The sequence below is a fragment of the Homo sapiens genome, chromosome 2 (genome assembly GCF_000001405.40).
Source record: "Homo sapiens chromosome 2, GRCh38.p14 Primary Assembly".
NCBI lineage: Eukaryota > Metazoa > Chordata > Mammalia > Primates > Hominidae > Homo > Homo sapiens.
In genome coordinates, this window is record NC_000002.12 from 203,724,595 (window position 1) to 203,739,723 (window position 15,129).

General features: G+C 40.2%; 1 protein-coding gene across 4 annotated transcripts in view; it reads left to right on the top strand.

The window, feature by feature from the left end:
- Positions 1-14,318, top strand: part of CD28 (CD28 molecule) — a 32,431-nt gene extending 18,113 nt beyond the window's left edge. For 2 of the 4 annotated variants that reach the window (NM_001410981.1, NM_006139.4), the window contains exons 2-4: positions 2,039-2,395; positions 5,054-5,178; positions 10,190-14,318. In NM_001410981.1, coding sequence (NP_001397910.1) covers positions 2,039-2,395; positions 5,054-5,178; positions 10,190-10,318 — 611 coding nt within the window. In that variant the 3' untranslated portion in view covers positions 10,319-14,318. The remainder of the gene's footprint in view (positions 1-2,038; positions 2,396-5,053; positions 5,179-10,189) is intronic. The other 2 variants (NM_001243077.2, NM_001243078.2) reach the window with 2 other exon arrangements.

Here is a 15,129-nt window from a genome sequence, read left to right on the forward strand (position 1 = left end):
GCTGGTCTTGAACTCCTGGGCTCAAGCATTCATCCCGCCTTGGCCTCCCAAAGTGCTAGGATCACAAAGGTGTGAGCCATCATCCCCAGCCAGCATTATTGATTATATAGGAGACAAAAAGCTACTATTAATTTAGTTCTATGCCATTTCCTTCTTACCAAAACCAAAACAAAACACCTGTGTATATGAATTCAAATTCAGTTAAATTGTAAATTTCATTTAAAAATGAATCTGATTTTATTTGGCTCTTCAGTGTGGGTATACGGGATGTTGCTTCAAATAAACTTAAAAGAAATGCAAGTAGGTAAATAATTATTAACATACCCCAAAACAAGAGCAAAAAAATGCTTTTGTTTGCATTGAAATTTGAATCAAAGACACAAAGTGGTTTGTTGTTTTAGAAAAATTCTTGAGGGCCAGGCGCAGTGGCTCACACCTGTAATCCCAGCACTTTGGGAGGCCGAGGCGGTGGATCACCTGAGGTTGGGAGTTCGAGACAAGCCTGACCAACATGGAGAAACCCCGTCTCTACTAAAAATAGAAAATTAGCCGGGCATGGTGGTGCATACCTGTTAATCCCAGCTACTCGGGAGGCTGAGGCAGGAGAATCACCTGAACCCAGAGGGCGGAGGTTGCAGTCAGCTGAGATCGCACCATTGCACTCCAGCCTGGGCAACAAGAGCGAAACTCCGTCTCCAGAAAAAAAAAAAAAAAGAAAAATTTTGGAAGGTGTCTTGGTTGCAAAGTTGATTCCCAGTTTCTCAGTGCTTCAGTGGTCTATTTCTCAGGTGGTCATAGCCAACTTGGGTTTTAGTTCTGGCTTTGCTCACCATTTGTTTGGTGACTTCAGACAAACCAGCTAATGTTTCTAGGCCTTATACAATCATTAGAAAAGAAAAAAAAAAAGAAATAATATTGTCCTGTGCCAACAATGAGGATACCATGGGAAATGAGATCAATGTGTTCTCTTCACTTATGGAGTTGATAAACTAGTTTCAGGTTCTTTGCTTTTAAAGATTGAACTAAATGCTCTCCAGATTCTTTGATCTTTTATTGGGATAGCAGTAAAGGTAGATGATGGACCAGAGAGATAACTCCCCTCTGGAGTCTTTCACCTTTCATGATATAAGGGAATAGATCTATGAATTTCTTGGGGAGGCTATTCTCTGAATTTGGTGCAGAAAACACATTAAAGCAAACTCTTGGGTTATATTTTTTCTTATCTCTTCATCCCACTCTTGCAATGGGCAATAAACAAAGTAAAAATGTTTCAAAATATTTTAATTCCTTTACAAAAACCTGTATCACAACTTAAAAACAAATCTATTTGTAGGTTGGGCATGGTGGCTCATGCTTGTAATCCCAGCACTTTGGGAGGCCAAGGTGGTCAGATCACTTGAGGCCAGGAGTTTGAGACCAGGCTAGCCAACATGGTGAAACCCCGTCTATACTAAAAAAATAGAAAAATTAGCTGGGCGTGGTGGTGCATACCTGTAATCCCAGCTACTTAAGAGACTGAGGCAGGAGAATTGTTTGAACTCGGTGGGTGGAGGTTGCAGTGAGCTGAGATTGCACCACTGCACTTCAGCCTGGGCAACAGAGCAAGACTCTGTCTCAAAAACAAACAAACAAAGAAACAGATCTATTTTTGTGTCTGTGTCAGGCACTAAAGCCACCTCCAAATATATCACTCAGTCAGGAAATTGGCCCAATGCATGATTAATATTAATGTCTCAGGAATATAGATTTAAAAATTGTGAGTGCCTAGCTGTGGTGCTCAATGCTAACAGAAAGCCATGTACTGCCTTCTGGGTGAAAACATGCTCCATTGTTCCATTCAAAAGAGGATGAAAATAATATTGAAATGTTAACTTTTGAACTCTCAGTATAATTATCCCCTGAAGAGGTCCTACATCTTCTGCCAAGAGAAAACCTTTGCTGGAGATCTGTTCATTTAGTTAATTAATATATTTTGCTCTCAGGAAGAAAAATTATCCTTATATTCTTGTTCTAAGCAAATGATTTTTTTTTCCCCCAGGAAACAAGATTTTGGTGAAGCAGTCGCCCATGCTTGTAGCGTACGACAATGCGGTCAACCTTAGCTGCAAGTATTCCTACAATCTCTTCTCAAGGGAGTTCCGGGCATCCCTTCACAAAGGACTGGATAGTGCTGTGGAAGTCTGTGTTGTATATGGGAATTACTCCCAGCAGCTTCAGGTTTACTCAAAAACGGGGTTCAACTGTGATGGGAAATTGGGCAATGAATCAGTGACATTCTACCTCCAGAATTTGTATGTTAACCAAACAGATATTTACTTCTGCAAAATTGAAGTTATGTATCCTCCTCCTTACCTAGACAATGAGAAGAGCAATGGAACCATTATCCATGTGAAAGGTAACATACAACTTTACCAGTGTACCACCCTAAAGTAATGGTTTTCAAATGCAGTCCTGAAAACTGGGTTGTGGTCAGTGGTGGGGTTGAATAAGGCCTAAGTGATTTGATACTAACAAAGACAAATAATGTTTTCAGAAAAATTTTTCCCTTTACTGTAGAGGAGATTCAAGGTTATATTTTGAATATCTTTATTTTCCTTTGCTGACATTGAGCGGGAGAGTAAGTGATGAAGTTACCGCATGTGGGAACAGATCATTTTTCTCCATTCCAGTGGATCATGGCAGAAAAGAGGTTACCATTAAAATGTAAGCCCAGGTGCCCTCAAGTAACAGCTGGGTCTAATGGGTTAAGACTCAGGAAGACTCACTTCTATTTCTAATTAATTCTTTTTTTGTGCTCCATAATCTTCCTCTGTAAAAGTACCTTTCCATTTTCTTTTTCCTTCCTTCCTTCCTTCCTTCCTTCCTTCCTTCCTTTTCTTTTCTTTTTCTTTTTCTTTTTTTTTGAGACGGACTCTCGCTCTGTCGCCCAGGCTGGAGTGCAGTGGCGGGATCTCAGTTCACTGCAAGCTCTGCCTCCCGGGTTCACGTCATTCTCCTGCCTCAGCCTCCCGATCAGCTGGGACTACAGGGCCCGCCACCACGCCTGGCTTATTTTTTGTATATTTATTTATTTATTTATTTTAATTAATTAATTTTTTTTTTTGAGAGGGAGTCTTGCTCTGTCGCCCAGGCTGGAATGCGGTGGCGCGATCTCGGCTCACTGCAAGCTCCGCCTCCCAGGTTCATGCCATTCTCCTGCCTCAGCCTCCTGAGTAGCTGGGACTACAGGTACCTGCCACCATGCCCGGCTAATTTTTTGTATTTTTAGTAGACAGGGTTTCACCTTGTTAGCCAGGATGGTCTCGATTTCCTGACCTCGTGACCCGCCCGTGTTGGCCTCCCAAAGTGCTGGGATTACAGGCGTGAGCCACCGCGCCCAGCCATTTTTTGTACTTTTAGTAGAGACGGGGTTTCACCGTGTTAGCAAGGATGGTCTCAATCTCCTGACCTCGTGATCTGCCCACCTGGGCCTCCCAAAGTGCTGTGATTACAGGCGTAAGCCACCGCGCCCAGCCCGTACCTTTCCATTTTCTAAAATATACAAAGAATGCTGGACTAGAAACCGGGGGACATAAAATTTGCTATTAATCAACTGTGTGATCTTGGATAAGTCACCTAACTTTTTCATAGTCAAAAACTCAGTACAACTGTTAAGCAGTATTTGTGAATTAGTGAAAATAAGTCTACTGAACTTTTGTTGATGTTATGTTCTGCCTAAATGTTAGGGAGAAAAATCATGATTCCCCAACTCAGAAGAATACAGTATTGGTAGCAACAAGTAAAGTTTGATTTTTTGGTATACTTTGTGGATATATCATAGCTTTTCATTTTTGTGGAATGATAATAAGAAACACATATGTTCAGTTTTGTACTGAATCCTAGCATAATGCCAATGAATGGTTTTTCTTCAATGCTGGAACAGAGCCATGCTGATGAAAAATAGGATACTAAATAAGGAAAGAATTGTTAATGTGGCAGATAAGCTTTTGTGTTCTGGCAAAATAGAGACAATTAATGTGTGAATATTTTGTTTGCTGAGTCCTATTTAGATTTCTAATATCTGTAATATCCAAACAGAATATTTTAATTGTATCAAGTCAAAGGTTAAAAAATTATGCTATTTTGCTTGTAGCTAAGAGTGAAATATTTTTTCCTATATGAAAGGCATGCTACTTTAGGATAGTATTTTATATATATGTATACACACATATACACATATCATTTATGTTAGAACTGAGAAGGACACCAATGATCCTGTACTTAGTAATTTTCAATCCTATCTGTATATTATAAATCTGAGTAGGTTTTAAAAGAAATACCAATGCCTAGTTCCAGCCCTGAGATTCTGATGTAATTGATATGGGTTGAGGAAGGGGTGCTGGACATCAGTATATTTTCAAACTTTCTCGGATAATTTATTGTGCAGCTAGGATGGAAAATCAATGGACTAGAGGATTTTTGGTATGCTTTCTAGTTCTAATTTTCTCTAATTTTGAATAGAATTCTATAGGTTCCTTCTCATCCCCTTTTGATTCCTAAAGATACAAAGTGATTTGTTTGTCATTATATAATCTATGAGACAGGGTTGGAACTAGAAATTTATCCTCTGATTAGCAGTCCAGTGTTCTGACTGCCATATTAGGCTGATGATTTTCTTAAGGCTTGAAAACATGCATATTATTTAACTTATTCCAAGGATGCAGTTTAGGGTCTAGATTAACTATCTTCTGATGGGAGAAACGGATAAAGTTAGGTTAAGGCCATTGGAAGTCACCGTTTTGAATCACACAGTAGAATCCACAAAGTCAAGTGAATACAAGTCTACCAGTGTACCATCCTAACGTAATGGCTTTCAACTGTGGTCGTGAAAACTGACCAGATCATGGTCAGTGGTGGGGTTGGGTAAGTCTCAAAGAGGAAATCTATTCACTCTAAGCTGGTGATATGTTTAATATTTTTATTTCTTTCACATTTTTCTCTGATGTTCACAAGGAAGGAAATGCACTCAATTGCTATTCCTGTATCATTTAATCCACTCTATTTTGTTTTTCAGGGAAACACCTTTGTCCAAGTCCCCTATTTCCCGGACCTTCTAAGCCCTTTTGGGTGCTGGTGGTGGTTGGTGGAGTCCTGGCTTGCTATAGCTTGCTAGTAACAGTGGCCTTTATTATTTTCTGGGTAAGAGAAGCAGCACTGCTTTTATGTAACTTTTCCACTGCACATGAAATCTGAACACATTCAAGAATTTTGCCTATGTGGTTTATTTTCTGTTTAATATAGGATGATGATTTTCTTTTCCCCATGCTTGAGTAGGTTCTCTTTTAGCTTGTTCAACTCTATCTGAGATAAAAATCTGATATGAGTTAGATTTCCCAGAAGGCATTGAGTAGGTGGTGAGGCAAAATAAGAAGCTAAATGGGTAAATTAGGGTGGAGGGATTAGGAGCAGTTGCCTTTCTTCTCCCCATTTTGCAATATAATTATGACACATAAAACAGTTTTAATGCGTATATATGTATAAACACCTAGGCAACTTGGGAAGCTAGGCAACTGAAGCCAATGGACAATGTTGGCTTGATCAAAAATCATGAGAAACTTGGCTACTGAAATTGTGTATTCAAACCTAGCAAAGAAACTAGATCTGTTTATCTGAGTCATATTTTTTTTTCTCCTCTGAAGCAGTTGAATTGTGTGAGGCCAAGTATGGTGCTGTCATTATGAAACTATAATGGGAGTTAGAATTTTCTGAGCTCTCACCACTGAATTGAAGTACTAACTTTTGCAAATGTTTACGTAATAAATGTGGTGTATTTTTCTTTACCTTCCTCAACATTGAATTTTTGGCCTGGGTTTGAACACATTTTGATGAACGCACCTACAGTTAAGAACGTACCCCTGAGTGACCCTTGTTCTTACTCAGAAACTTCTTAGGTACATAGTATGGTACAGAATGTATTGACTCCATGTTGTCTTTGAATTTTTTTCTAGAAGTTACATGCATGGATGAGTCATTTCTTCAATGAGAAATGTATTCTCAAACATAAAAGACTATTTCTCTTGATAGTCTCCAAAAGACTATTTCTCTTGATATTCTCCATTTGATATTAAGTACATTTGGTGCTTAATGAATGCTTATTGGATTGATGAATTGATAACCTCCAGAGAGGTCAAATTAAGGATTTAAATGAGTCTGCCTGAAGTATGATACTCATCTTTAAGGCATAATCTGTATATGTACCTAATTCATAGATGGGTCAGTGATTTCTGAAAGCCATATCATATGAAGTCATTCTGTTTACTGTCAGCTTGGTGACTGCGGGTACAGACCTGGATCCACAGCCATGCCTTCCTATTATCCAGTCTTAGATTCTTTTAGACTCTTCTTGGCCTATTGCCAAAGCTTACCTTTCAGTTGTTCCCCACATGCTCCTTGCAGTTCAGAAGACCCTAGGGCTCAGATGGACATTTGTCAGGCTGCCTGTTGCTTACTCTGTACTTGCCGCAGGGTAGGAAACAAAGTGGTTGCTTGTTCCTGGAAATTCTTTATACTAGGTATCATCTTAAGAATTTGCCTGGCTTGCCTTCTGCAAGTTGCCCAACCCTGAAGGTGGGGCTTTGGTATTGTAAAATGTTGCCTGAATTCTGCCTCTGATGTTAGTTGACTACTTTCACCTTTCCAGATCTTGGTATCTTCATCCAACTTACCTTCTAACTTTGATCCTCTGGTGTTTGCTGATAATTTTCGAGTTTTTAGAATTCTTAGTTCTTGTTTCTTCTTAATCTCTGGCCATTGGCTTTTATGCCTACCATATGGCTTTTCAATCCTCTTATTGGGAATCTCAACTTTCTAACTTAAAGGCCAGGTGCAGTGGCCCTTTGGATACCCCTCCAGGAAAGGCATTCCCCTGTGATATGCTGACCTAGGTCAAAGTAATTTACTAGCTCTGCAGAAAGTAGTTTTGGGAATTACTTTAACCTTCAATGGCCAGAGGACACTGCTCATTATTGAAAACTTATTATAAATATTCATTAGAATGTCAGTTACTATAATGAGACATCAATTTGTTGAGTGACTTGAGTCACCCAAAGGGACAAAAGCAGCTTCTCACTTTCAATGAATTTAAACCGTTCACTTTCAACTCAGACACATCATAGACACACTGGGTTTTTCCTTGGCAGTACTACTAATTCCTAGTGAGATTCATCTTGCTTTGTTTTAAAAAAATTTTATTTTTGTTTTACTTTGTCTTACAGACCCCCTGTGAATTGGGCAGTCCTGTCATTTGTGGCCTCTTGTAGTCAATTCGGTTACCCAATAAAAACTACCACTTATCTGCATCTCAAACCTGGGTCTTTGTACTCTCTTACCAAAAGAGTATAAATACAAGTTTGTCTATATTTCGTAGAATAACATAGTATTTTTACTCTGGGCTCATCTTTTCCTGCTGTTGGTATTTAAGCAACAAGTACCTTGCTGAGTTGGGCATCTAGGCCATTATGGATCCCTGGAGTTTAGCTGTTTCCTGGGTAATTTTCTGAGATCCTATTTTTGGCTGGTCTGCAGCGTGCCTTGATGTAAGTTGCTGTTTTCCGGAACTTCCTGAGGGCCTGATATGCTACTGTAGGCAGTTCTGGGTTGAGTGGGTTTCTAGGCTGAGCGGGTTTCTGGGAGCAGCTGCAGATTCTATCTCAGTTCTTGACCTGATGTTGACATTTGAGTAAATAAAGAGCTCCCTTTGGTCAAGCTGTCACAGGCCAGCACCTGTCACTGTCTTTCAATTCTCCATTCATGCAGCTGTGCTGGTAAAGCTGCCCGTTTTCCTAAAGAAATCTTTTTAAAAAACATTATGTTCCCCACTGCAGATCATAATGTGAGGAATGTAGATAGTGTGTGTACAGGTAGTGTCTGCTTTTTATAATAATCCAGTAGATTCTTGAAGACCACGTACTTAAGTAGATTACCTTGCATATGCCCTGTGTATTGCTGCTGTTCCCAGGAAACAAGTGGGTAAGGCTGGCATGGGGAGAAGGGCAAAGGAGGAATGGTCCAGAAATTACATATCATTAGCTGACATTCACTGTTGAAGGGGTGGAGATGACACAGACACATAGGGTAGGTACTTCCTGCACACATATGCACACATACTCAATGCACATGGGTGCTGTAGGTTCTGCGTGGTGTTTGTTCCCAGCCATGCATCTGTCATTTTCATCCCACTGCTGTGTTTAGAGTTAGGGTGATAATAAGTAAGTCTGCCATCTGACAATCACTTGAGGATAAGCATGGGAGCTGACTGCAACAGACCTTTCATTATTTTATGTGCAATGTAAAGAACCTGAGAATCAAGACACCTTTATTGCTGTGGCCTCTCTACCAGCTATGATTTGGTTTGGGTGTCCGGAGGCAGAGGCTGACACTTGGAGGTTTGGCAAAGGGAGTCCTCAGGGTTGGAGTAAGTACTAAAAATGCTTCCCAGGTTATCAGCTGTTTTCTACACTCATCTGGGGACAGACATTTCCTCGGCCTCACCCCTGCCCTGCTGTGATCTTGTGCTCAAGACAGCTCTAGTCTTTCATTTACAGAAAGGATGTAGAACCAAAACAATTCTTCATTGCATTGTAGGATGTTTAGCAGCATCTCTGACCTCTACCCAGTAGATGCCAGTAGCATCCCTCCCCGTTGTGATGATCCAAAATGTTTTTAGACTTCACTAAATGTCTCCTGGGACAGGGATTAAGGGAGCTTGAGGTGTCAAGGATGAGGTTAGGAGGTCTGTCTTGGGCAGCTGTATATATGGTAGTGTCATTCACTCAGATGAGAAACACTGGTAAAAAAAAAACAGCATTTGGGGGAAATCTTGAGTTTTATTTTAGACATGTTGAGTTTAGAGTGGCTTTGAGGTTTAGTCCAGAGATATAAATTTGGGTGAGTAGGTGGTAATTGAAGCTGTGAATGTGGATAAGATTGCCTAGGGAAAGAGGATAGAGAAGAAGGCCTAGGACCAAGCAGTGAGAAATTCTAACGGCTGGTTAGAGAAGGATGAGCTTGCAAAGGAGGCAGGGAAGGAGTGACAAGACAGGTAGGATAAAAACTGGGATGTCATAGATGGCAAAGAGAAATAGTATCACAAAAAGAAGAGAGTTATCAATAGTATAGAATACTGCTGAGAGTTGAAGAAGATGAGGACTTAAAACATGTTAGCTGTGTTTAGTAACATGGAAGTCAGCGTTTTTCAAACCTTTCTTTAGCACTTACTCATGCCCCTTTGACAAGGAAGGTGTGAAGTGCTCAGGCAGGAGTGTATGGAAACAAAACCAGGGCTGAAATCATTCACTTATTTATTCATTCAGGTATCATGTCATTCATGTACAGCATTATCTACTTAGGTATCAGCCTGTGTGCCAGGAACTAGGCACTTTTTTCATAATAGAGAATTCTGAATCCAGAAATCTGATGGCTTTCTGTTTTTAGATGTTTTCTGGGTCATTTGTTAAGAAATGTAGAATTTTACTATCACATTGATTCAGAAATGATGTTCCTAACCCTTAGTCAAAAATTTTGCTAAGATTCATGGTGGGTGAAACTATTGCCCTTACTTCCCTCACTTCTGGTGGAAATTCATCCTGATGGAGCCAAGCCTATGAAAGAGAGATGAGTGTAGAAATACATACCCATAAAGACATAGGAATGTACTAGTTGTCTAGAACTGTAAATTGCCATTAGTTTGGACTCCACCTTTACAAATTTGTGATTATTACAGACTCTGGAGGAGTTGAAAGTCCTCTTCGGTTAATTATGGAAAAACAGCTTGTTAAGCAAATGCTAATGTAAGAAGATCACAATGTGGGTAGGCTTAACCTAGTCAAAGGAGGAAGGGCCTTCAAGTGTATTTACATATCAACAGTGGATATGTTAATTAGTGTGCATTTTTAATTCAGGTCAGATGACAGCATTGAGAGTAACAGGGATGCATTTCTCTAAAATACTTTCTTTGAGATTTTTCAAGTTCAATGTGAAGAGTCAGTAGTTGGGTGTGATTAGTCATTACCCAAGTCCAAGGTGCTCAAAAAAGGTTAGTGTTTTAGTGTCTCTGTCATTTGACAGTTAATATTATGAATAGTTGTGCCCACAGTCTTAGAACTCCTTCCATGACATTGTCCCTCCATACTGACACTTCTCTTTCCTGCAGGTGAGGAGTAAGAGGAGCAGGCTCCTGCACAGTGACTACATGAACATGACTCCCCGCCGCCCCGGGCCCACCCGCAAGCATTACCAGCCCTATGCCCCACCACGCGACTTCGCAGCCTATCGCTCCTGACACGGACGCCTATCCAGAAGCCAGCCGGCTGGCAGCCCCCATCTGCTCAATATCACTGCTCTGGATAGGAAATGACCGCCATCTCCAGCCGGCCACCTCAGGCCCCTGTTGGGCCACCAATGCCAATTTTTCTCGAGTGACTAGACCAAATATCAAGATCATTTTGAGACTCTGAAATGAAGTAAAAGAGATTTCCTGTGACAGGCCAAGTCTTACAGTGCCATGGCCCACATTCCAACTTACCATGTACTTAGTGACTTGACTGAGAAGTTAGGGTAGAAAACAAAAAGGGAGTGGATTCTGGGAGCCTCTTCCCTTTCTCACTCACCTGCACATCTCAGTCAAGCAAAGTGTGGTATCCACAGACATTTTAGTTGCAGAAGAAAGGCTAGGAAATCATTCCTTTTGGTTAAATGGGTGTTTAATCTTTTGGTTAGTGGGTTAAACGGGGTAAGTTAGAGTAGGGGGAGGGATAGGAAGACATATTTAAAAACCATTAAAACACTGTCTCCCACTCATGAAATGAGCCACGTAGTTCCTATTTAATGCTGTTTTCCTTTAGTTTAGAAATACATAGACATTGTCTTTTATGAATTCTGATCATATTTAGTCATTTTGACCAAATGAGGGATTTGGTCAAATGAGGGATTCCCTCAAAGCAATATCAGGTAAACCAAGTTGCTTTCCTCACTCCCTGTCATGAGACTTCAGTGTTAATGTTCACAATATACTTTCGAAAGAATAAAATAGTTCTCCTACATGAAGAAAGAATATGTCAGGAAATAAGGTCACTTTATGTCAAAATTATTTGAGTACTATGGGACCTGGCGCAGTGGCTCATGCTTGTAATCCCAGCACTTTGGGAGGCCGAGGTGGGCAGATCACTTGAGATCAGGACCAGCCTGGTCAAGATGGTGAAACTCCGTCTGTACTAAAAATACAAAATTTAGCTTGGCCTGGTGGCAGGCACCTGTAATCCCAGCTGCCCAAGAGGCTGAGGCATGAGAATCGCTTGAACCTGGCAGGCGGAGGTTGCAGTGAGCCGAGATAGTGCCACAGCTCTCCAGCCTGGGCGACAGAGTGAGACTCCATCTCAAACAACAACAACAACAACAACAACAACAACAAACCACAAAATTATTTGAGTACTGTGAAGGATTATTTGTCTAACAGTTCATTCCAATCAGACCAGGTAGGAGCTTTCCTGTTTCATATGTTTCAGGGTTGCACAGTTGGTCTCTTTAATGTCGGTGTGGAGATCCAAAGTGGGTTGTGGAAAGAGCGTCCATAGGAGAAGTGAGAATACTGTGAAAAAGGGATGTTAGCATTCATTAGAGTATGAGGATGAGTCCCAAGAAGGTTCTTTGGAAGGAGGACGAATAGAATGGAGTAATGAAATTCTTGCCATGTGCTGAGGAGATAGCCAGCATTAGGTGACAATCTTCCAGAAGTGGTCAGGCAGAAGGTGCCCTGGTGAGAGCTCCTTTACAGGGACTTTATGTGGTTTAGGGCTCAGAGCTCCAAAACTCTGGGCTCAGCTGCTCCTGTACCTTGGAGGTCCATTCACATGGGAAAGTATTTTGGAATGTGTCTTTTGAAGAGAGCATCAGAGTTCTTAAGGGACTGGGTAAGGCCTGACCCTGAAATGACCATGGATATTTTTCTACCTACAGTTTGAGTCAACTAGAATATGCCTGGGGACCTTGAAGAATGGCCCTTCAGTGGCCCTCACCATTTGTTCATGCTTCAGTTAATTCAGGTGTTGAAGGAGCTTAGGTTTTAGAGGCACGTAGACTTGGTTCAAGTCTCGTTAGTAGTTGAATAGCCTCAGGCAAGTCACTGCCCACCTAAGATGATGGTTCTTCAACTATAAAATGGAGATAATGGTTACAAATGTCTCTTCCTATAGTATAATCTCCATAAGGGCATGGCCCAAGTCTGTCTTTGACTCTGCCTATCCCTGACATTTAGTAGCATGCCCGACATACAATGTTAGCTATTGGTATTATTGCCATATAGATAAATTATGTATAAAAATTAAACTGGGCAATAGCCTAAGAAGGGGGGAATATTGTAACACAAATTTAAACCCACTACGCAGGGATGAGGTGCTATAATATGAGGACCTTTTAACTTCCATCATTTTCCTGTTTCTTGAAATAGTTTATCTTGTAATGAAATATAAGGCACCTCCCACTTTTATGTATAGAAAGAGGTCTTTTAATTTTTTTTTAATGTGAGAAGGAAGGGAGGAGTAGGAATCTTGAGATTCCAGATCGAAAATACTGTACTTTGGTTGATTTTTAAGTGGGCTTCCATTCCATGGATTTAATCAGTCCCAAGAAGATCAAACTCAGCAGTACTTGGGTGCTGAAGAACTGTTGGATTTACCCTGGCACGTGTGCCACTTGCCAGCTTCTTGGGCACACAGAGTTCTTCAATCCAAGTTATCAGATTGTATTTGAAAATGACAGAGCTGGAGAGTTTTTTGAAATGGCAGTGGCAAATAAATAAATACTTTTTTTTAAATGGAAAGACTTGATCTATGGTAATAAATGATTTTGTTTTCTGACTGGAAAAATAGGCCTACTAAAGATGAATCACACTTGAGATGTTTCTTACTCACTCTGCACAGAAACAAAGAAGAAATGTTATACAGGGAAGTCCGTTTTCACTATTAGTATGAACCAAGAAATGGTTCAAAAACAGTGGTAGGAGCAATGCTTTCATAGTTTCAGATATGGTAGTTATGAAGAAAACAATGTCATTTGCTGCTATTATTGTAAGAGTCTTATAATTAATGGTACTCCTATAATTTTTGATTGTGAGCTCACCTATTTGGGTTAAGCATGCCAATTTAAAGAGACCAAGTGTATGTACATTATGTTCTACATATTCAGTGATAAAATTACTAAACTACTATATGTCTGCTTTAAATTTGTACTTTAATATTGTCTTTTGGTATTAAGAAAGATATGCTTTCAGAATAGATATGCTTCGCTTTGGCAAGGAATTTGGATAGAACTTGCTATTTAAAAGAGGTGTGGGGTAAATCCTTGTATAAATCTCCAGTTTAGCCTTTTTTGAAAAAGCTAGACTTTCAAATACTAATTTCACTTCAAGCAGGGTACGTTTCTGGTTTGTTTGCTTGACTTCAGTCACAATTTCTTATCAGACCAATGGCTGACCTCTTTGAGATGTCAGGCTAGGCTTACCTATGTGTTCTGTGTCATGTGAATGCTGAGAAGTTTGACAGAGATCCAACTTCAGCCTTGACCCCATCAGTCCCTCGGGTTAACTAACTGAGCCACCGGTCCTCATGGCTATTTTAATGAGGGTATTGATGGTTAAATGCATGTCTGATCCCTTATCCCAGCCATTTGCACTGCCAGCTGGGAACTATACCAGACCTGGATACTGATCCCAAAGTGTTAAATTCAACTACATGCTGGAGATTAGAGATGGTGCCAATAAAGGACCCAGAACCAGGATCTTGATTGCTATAGACTTATTAATAATCCAGGTCAAAGAGAGTGACACACACTCTCTCAAGACCTGGGGTGAGGGAGTCTGTGTTATCTGCAAGGCCATTTGAGGCTCAGAAAGTCTCTCTTTCCTATAGATATATGCATACTTTCTGACATATAGGAATGTATCAGGAATACTCAACCATCACAGGCATGTTCCTACCTCAGGGCCTTTACATGTCCTGTTTACTCTGTCTAGAATGTCCTTCTGTAGATGACCTGGCTTGCCTCGTCACCCTTCAGGTCCTTGCTCAAGTGTCATCTTCTCCCCTAGTTAAACTACCCCACACCCTGTCTGCTTTCCTTGCTTATTTTTCTCCATAGCATTTTACCATCTCTTACATTAGACATTTTTCTTATTTATTTGTAGTTTATAAGCTTCATGAGGCAAGTAACTTTGCTTTGTTTCTTGCTGTATCTCCAGTGCCCAGAGCAGTGCCTGGTATATAATAAATATTTATTGACTGAGTGAATGAGTTTTACATGGCCTTATGAATTAACGGTGAGTCTAAATGTTATAATCATACTTTGAGAGGGAGAAAGCCAGTTCTATTTTCTACTTTCCTCTTAAGAAGTTCAAAAATTCATTTTATTAAAAAAACAGGAGGTAAAATATATACACAGCCAAATCTAGTGAAAGAAAATCTGATGAATATAAGTTCATTTACGTTTTAGAAATTTTTGTGCAGTGAGGAAAACCAGTACTGTTAGAAAAGTCATGCCAACTCAGCCACTGTCAGGAGTAAGTTGATTTTCCATTGAAGTCCCCAAATTCCCTCTTAATGGAGTATTGGCTATATCTTAAACATATCTTTAGTTTAAGACTTCTGAAAATGTTGTCTTTGTCTAAAATGTTAAAATCCCATCCTACTACTGACCTGCTACTCTTTTTTCTGGGGTGATTTTACCCCCAACAAATTCTATAAATGCCTTCTCTGGCTCTGATTCAAAAAGTGCTCACAAATGGAAATGCTGGGGACAGAAAATTTCAACTTCTTCACCTGTCATACTCATATCATAGCTGAACACTCTAATAGCACACACACACACACACACACACACACACACAGACCCACACACACACACACACACCCCTATCATCTTCTGGGTAGGGGAAGGGAAAGGCGCTTGAACAACAGACACAAGAGCTGGTCTAATAATTCATGTAGCACCTTCTGTTTCCTTCGTTGAAATTTTACTCTGAAGGTGACTCAGAGTCAATTAAATTGGTGTGCAATGAGTTCATCTCTAAACTGATTCTTTTCTTTGGTGAAATGAAGCTTA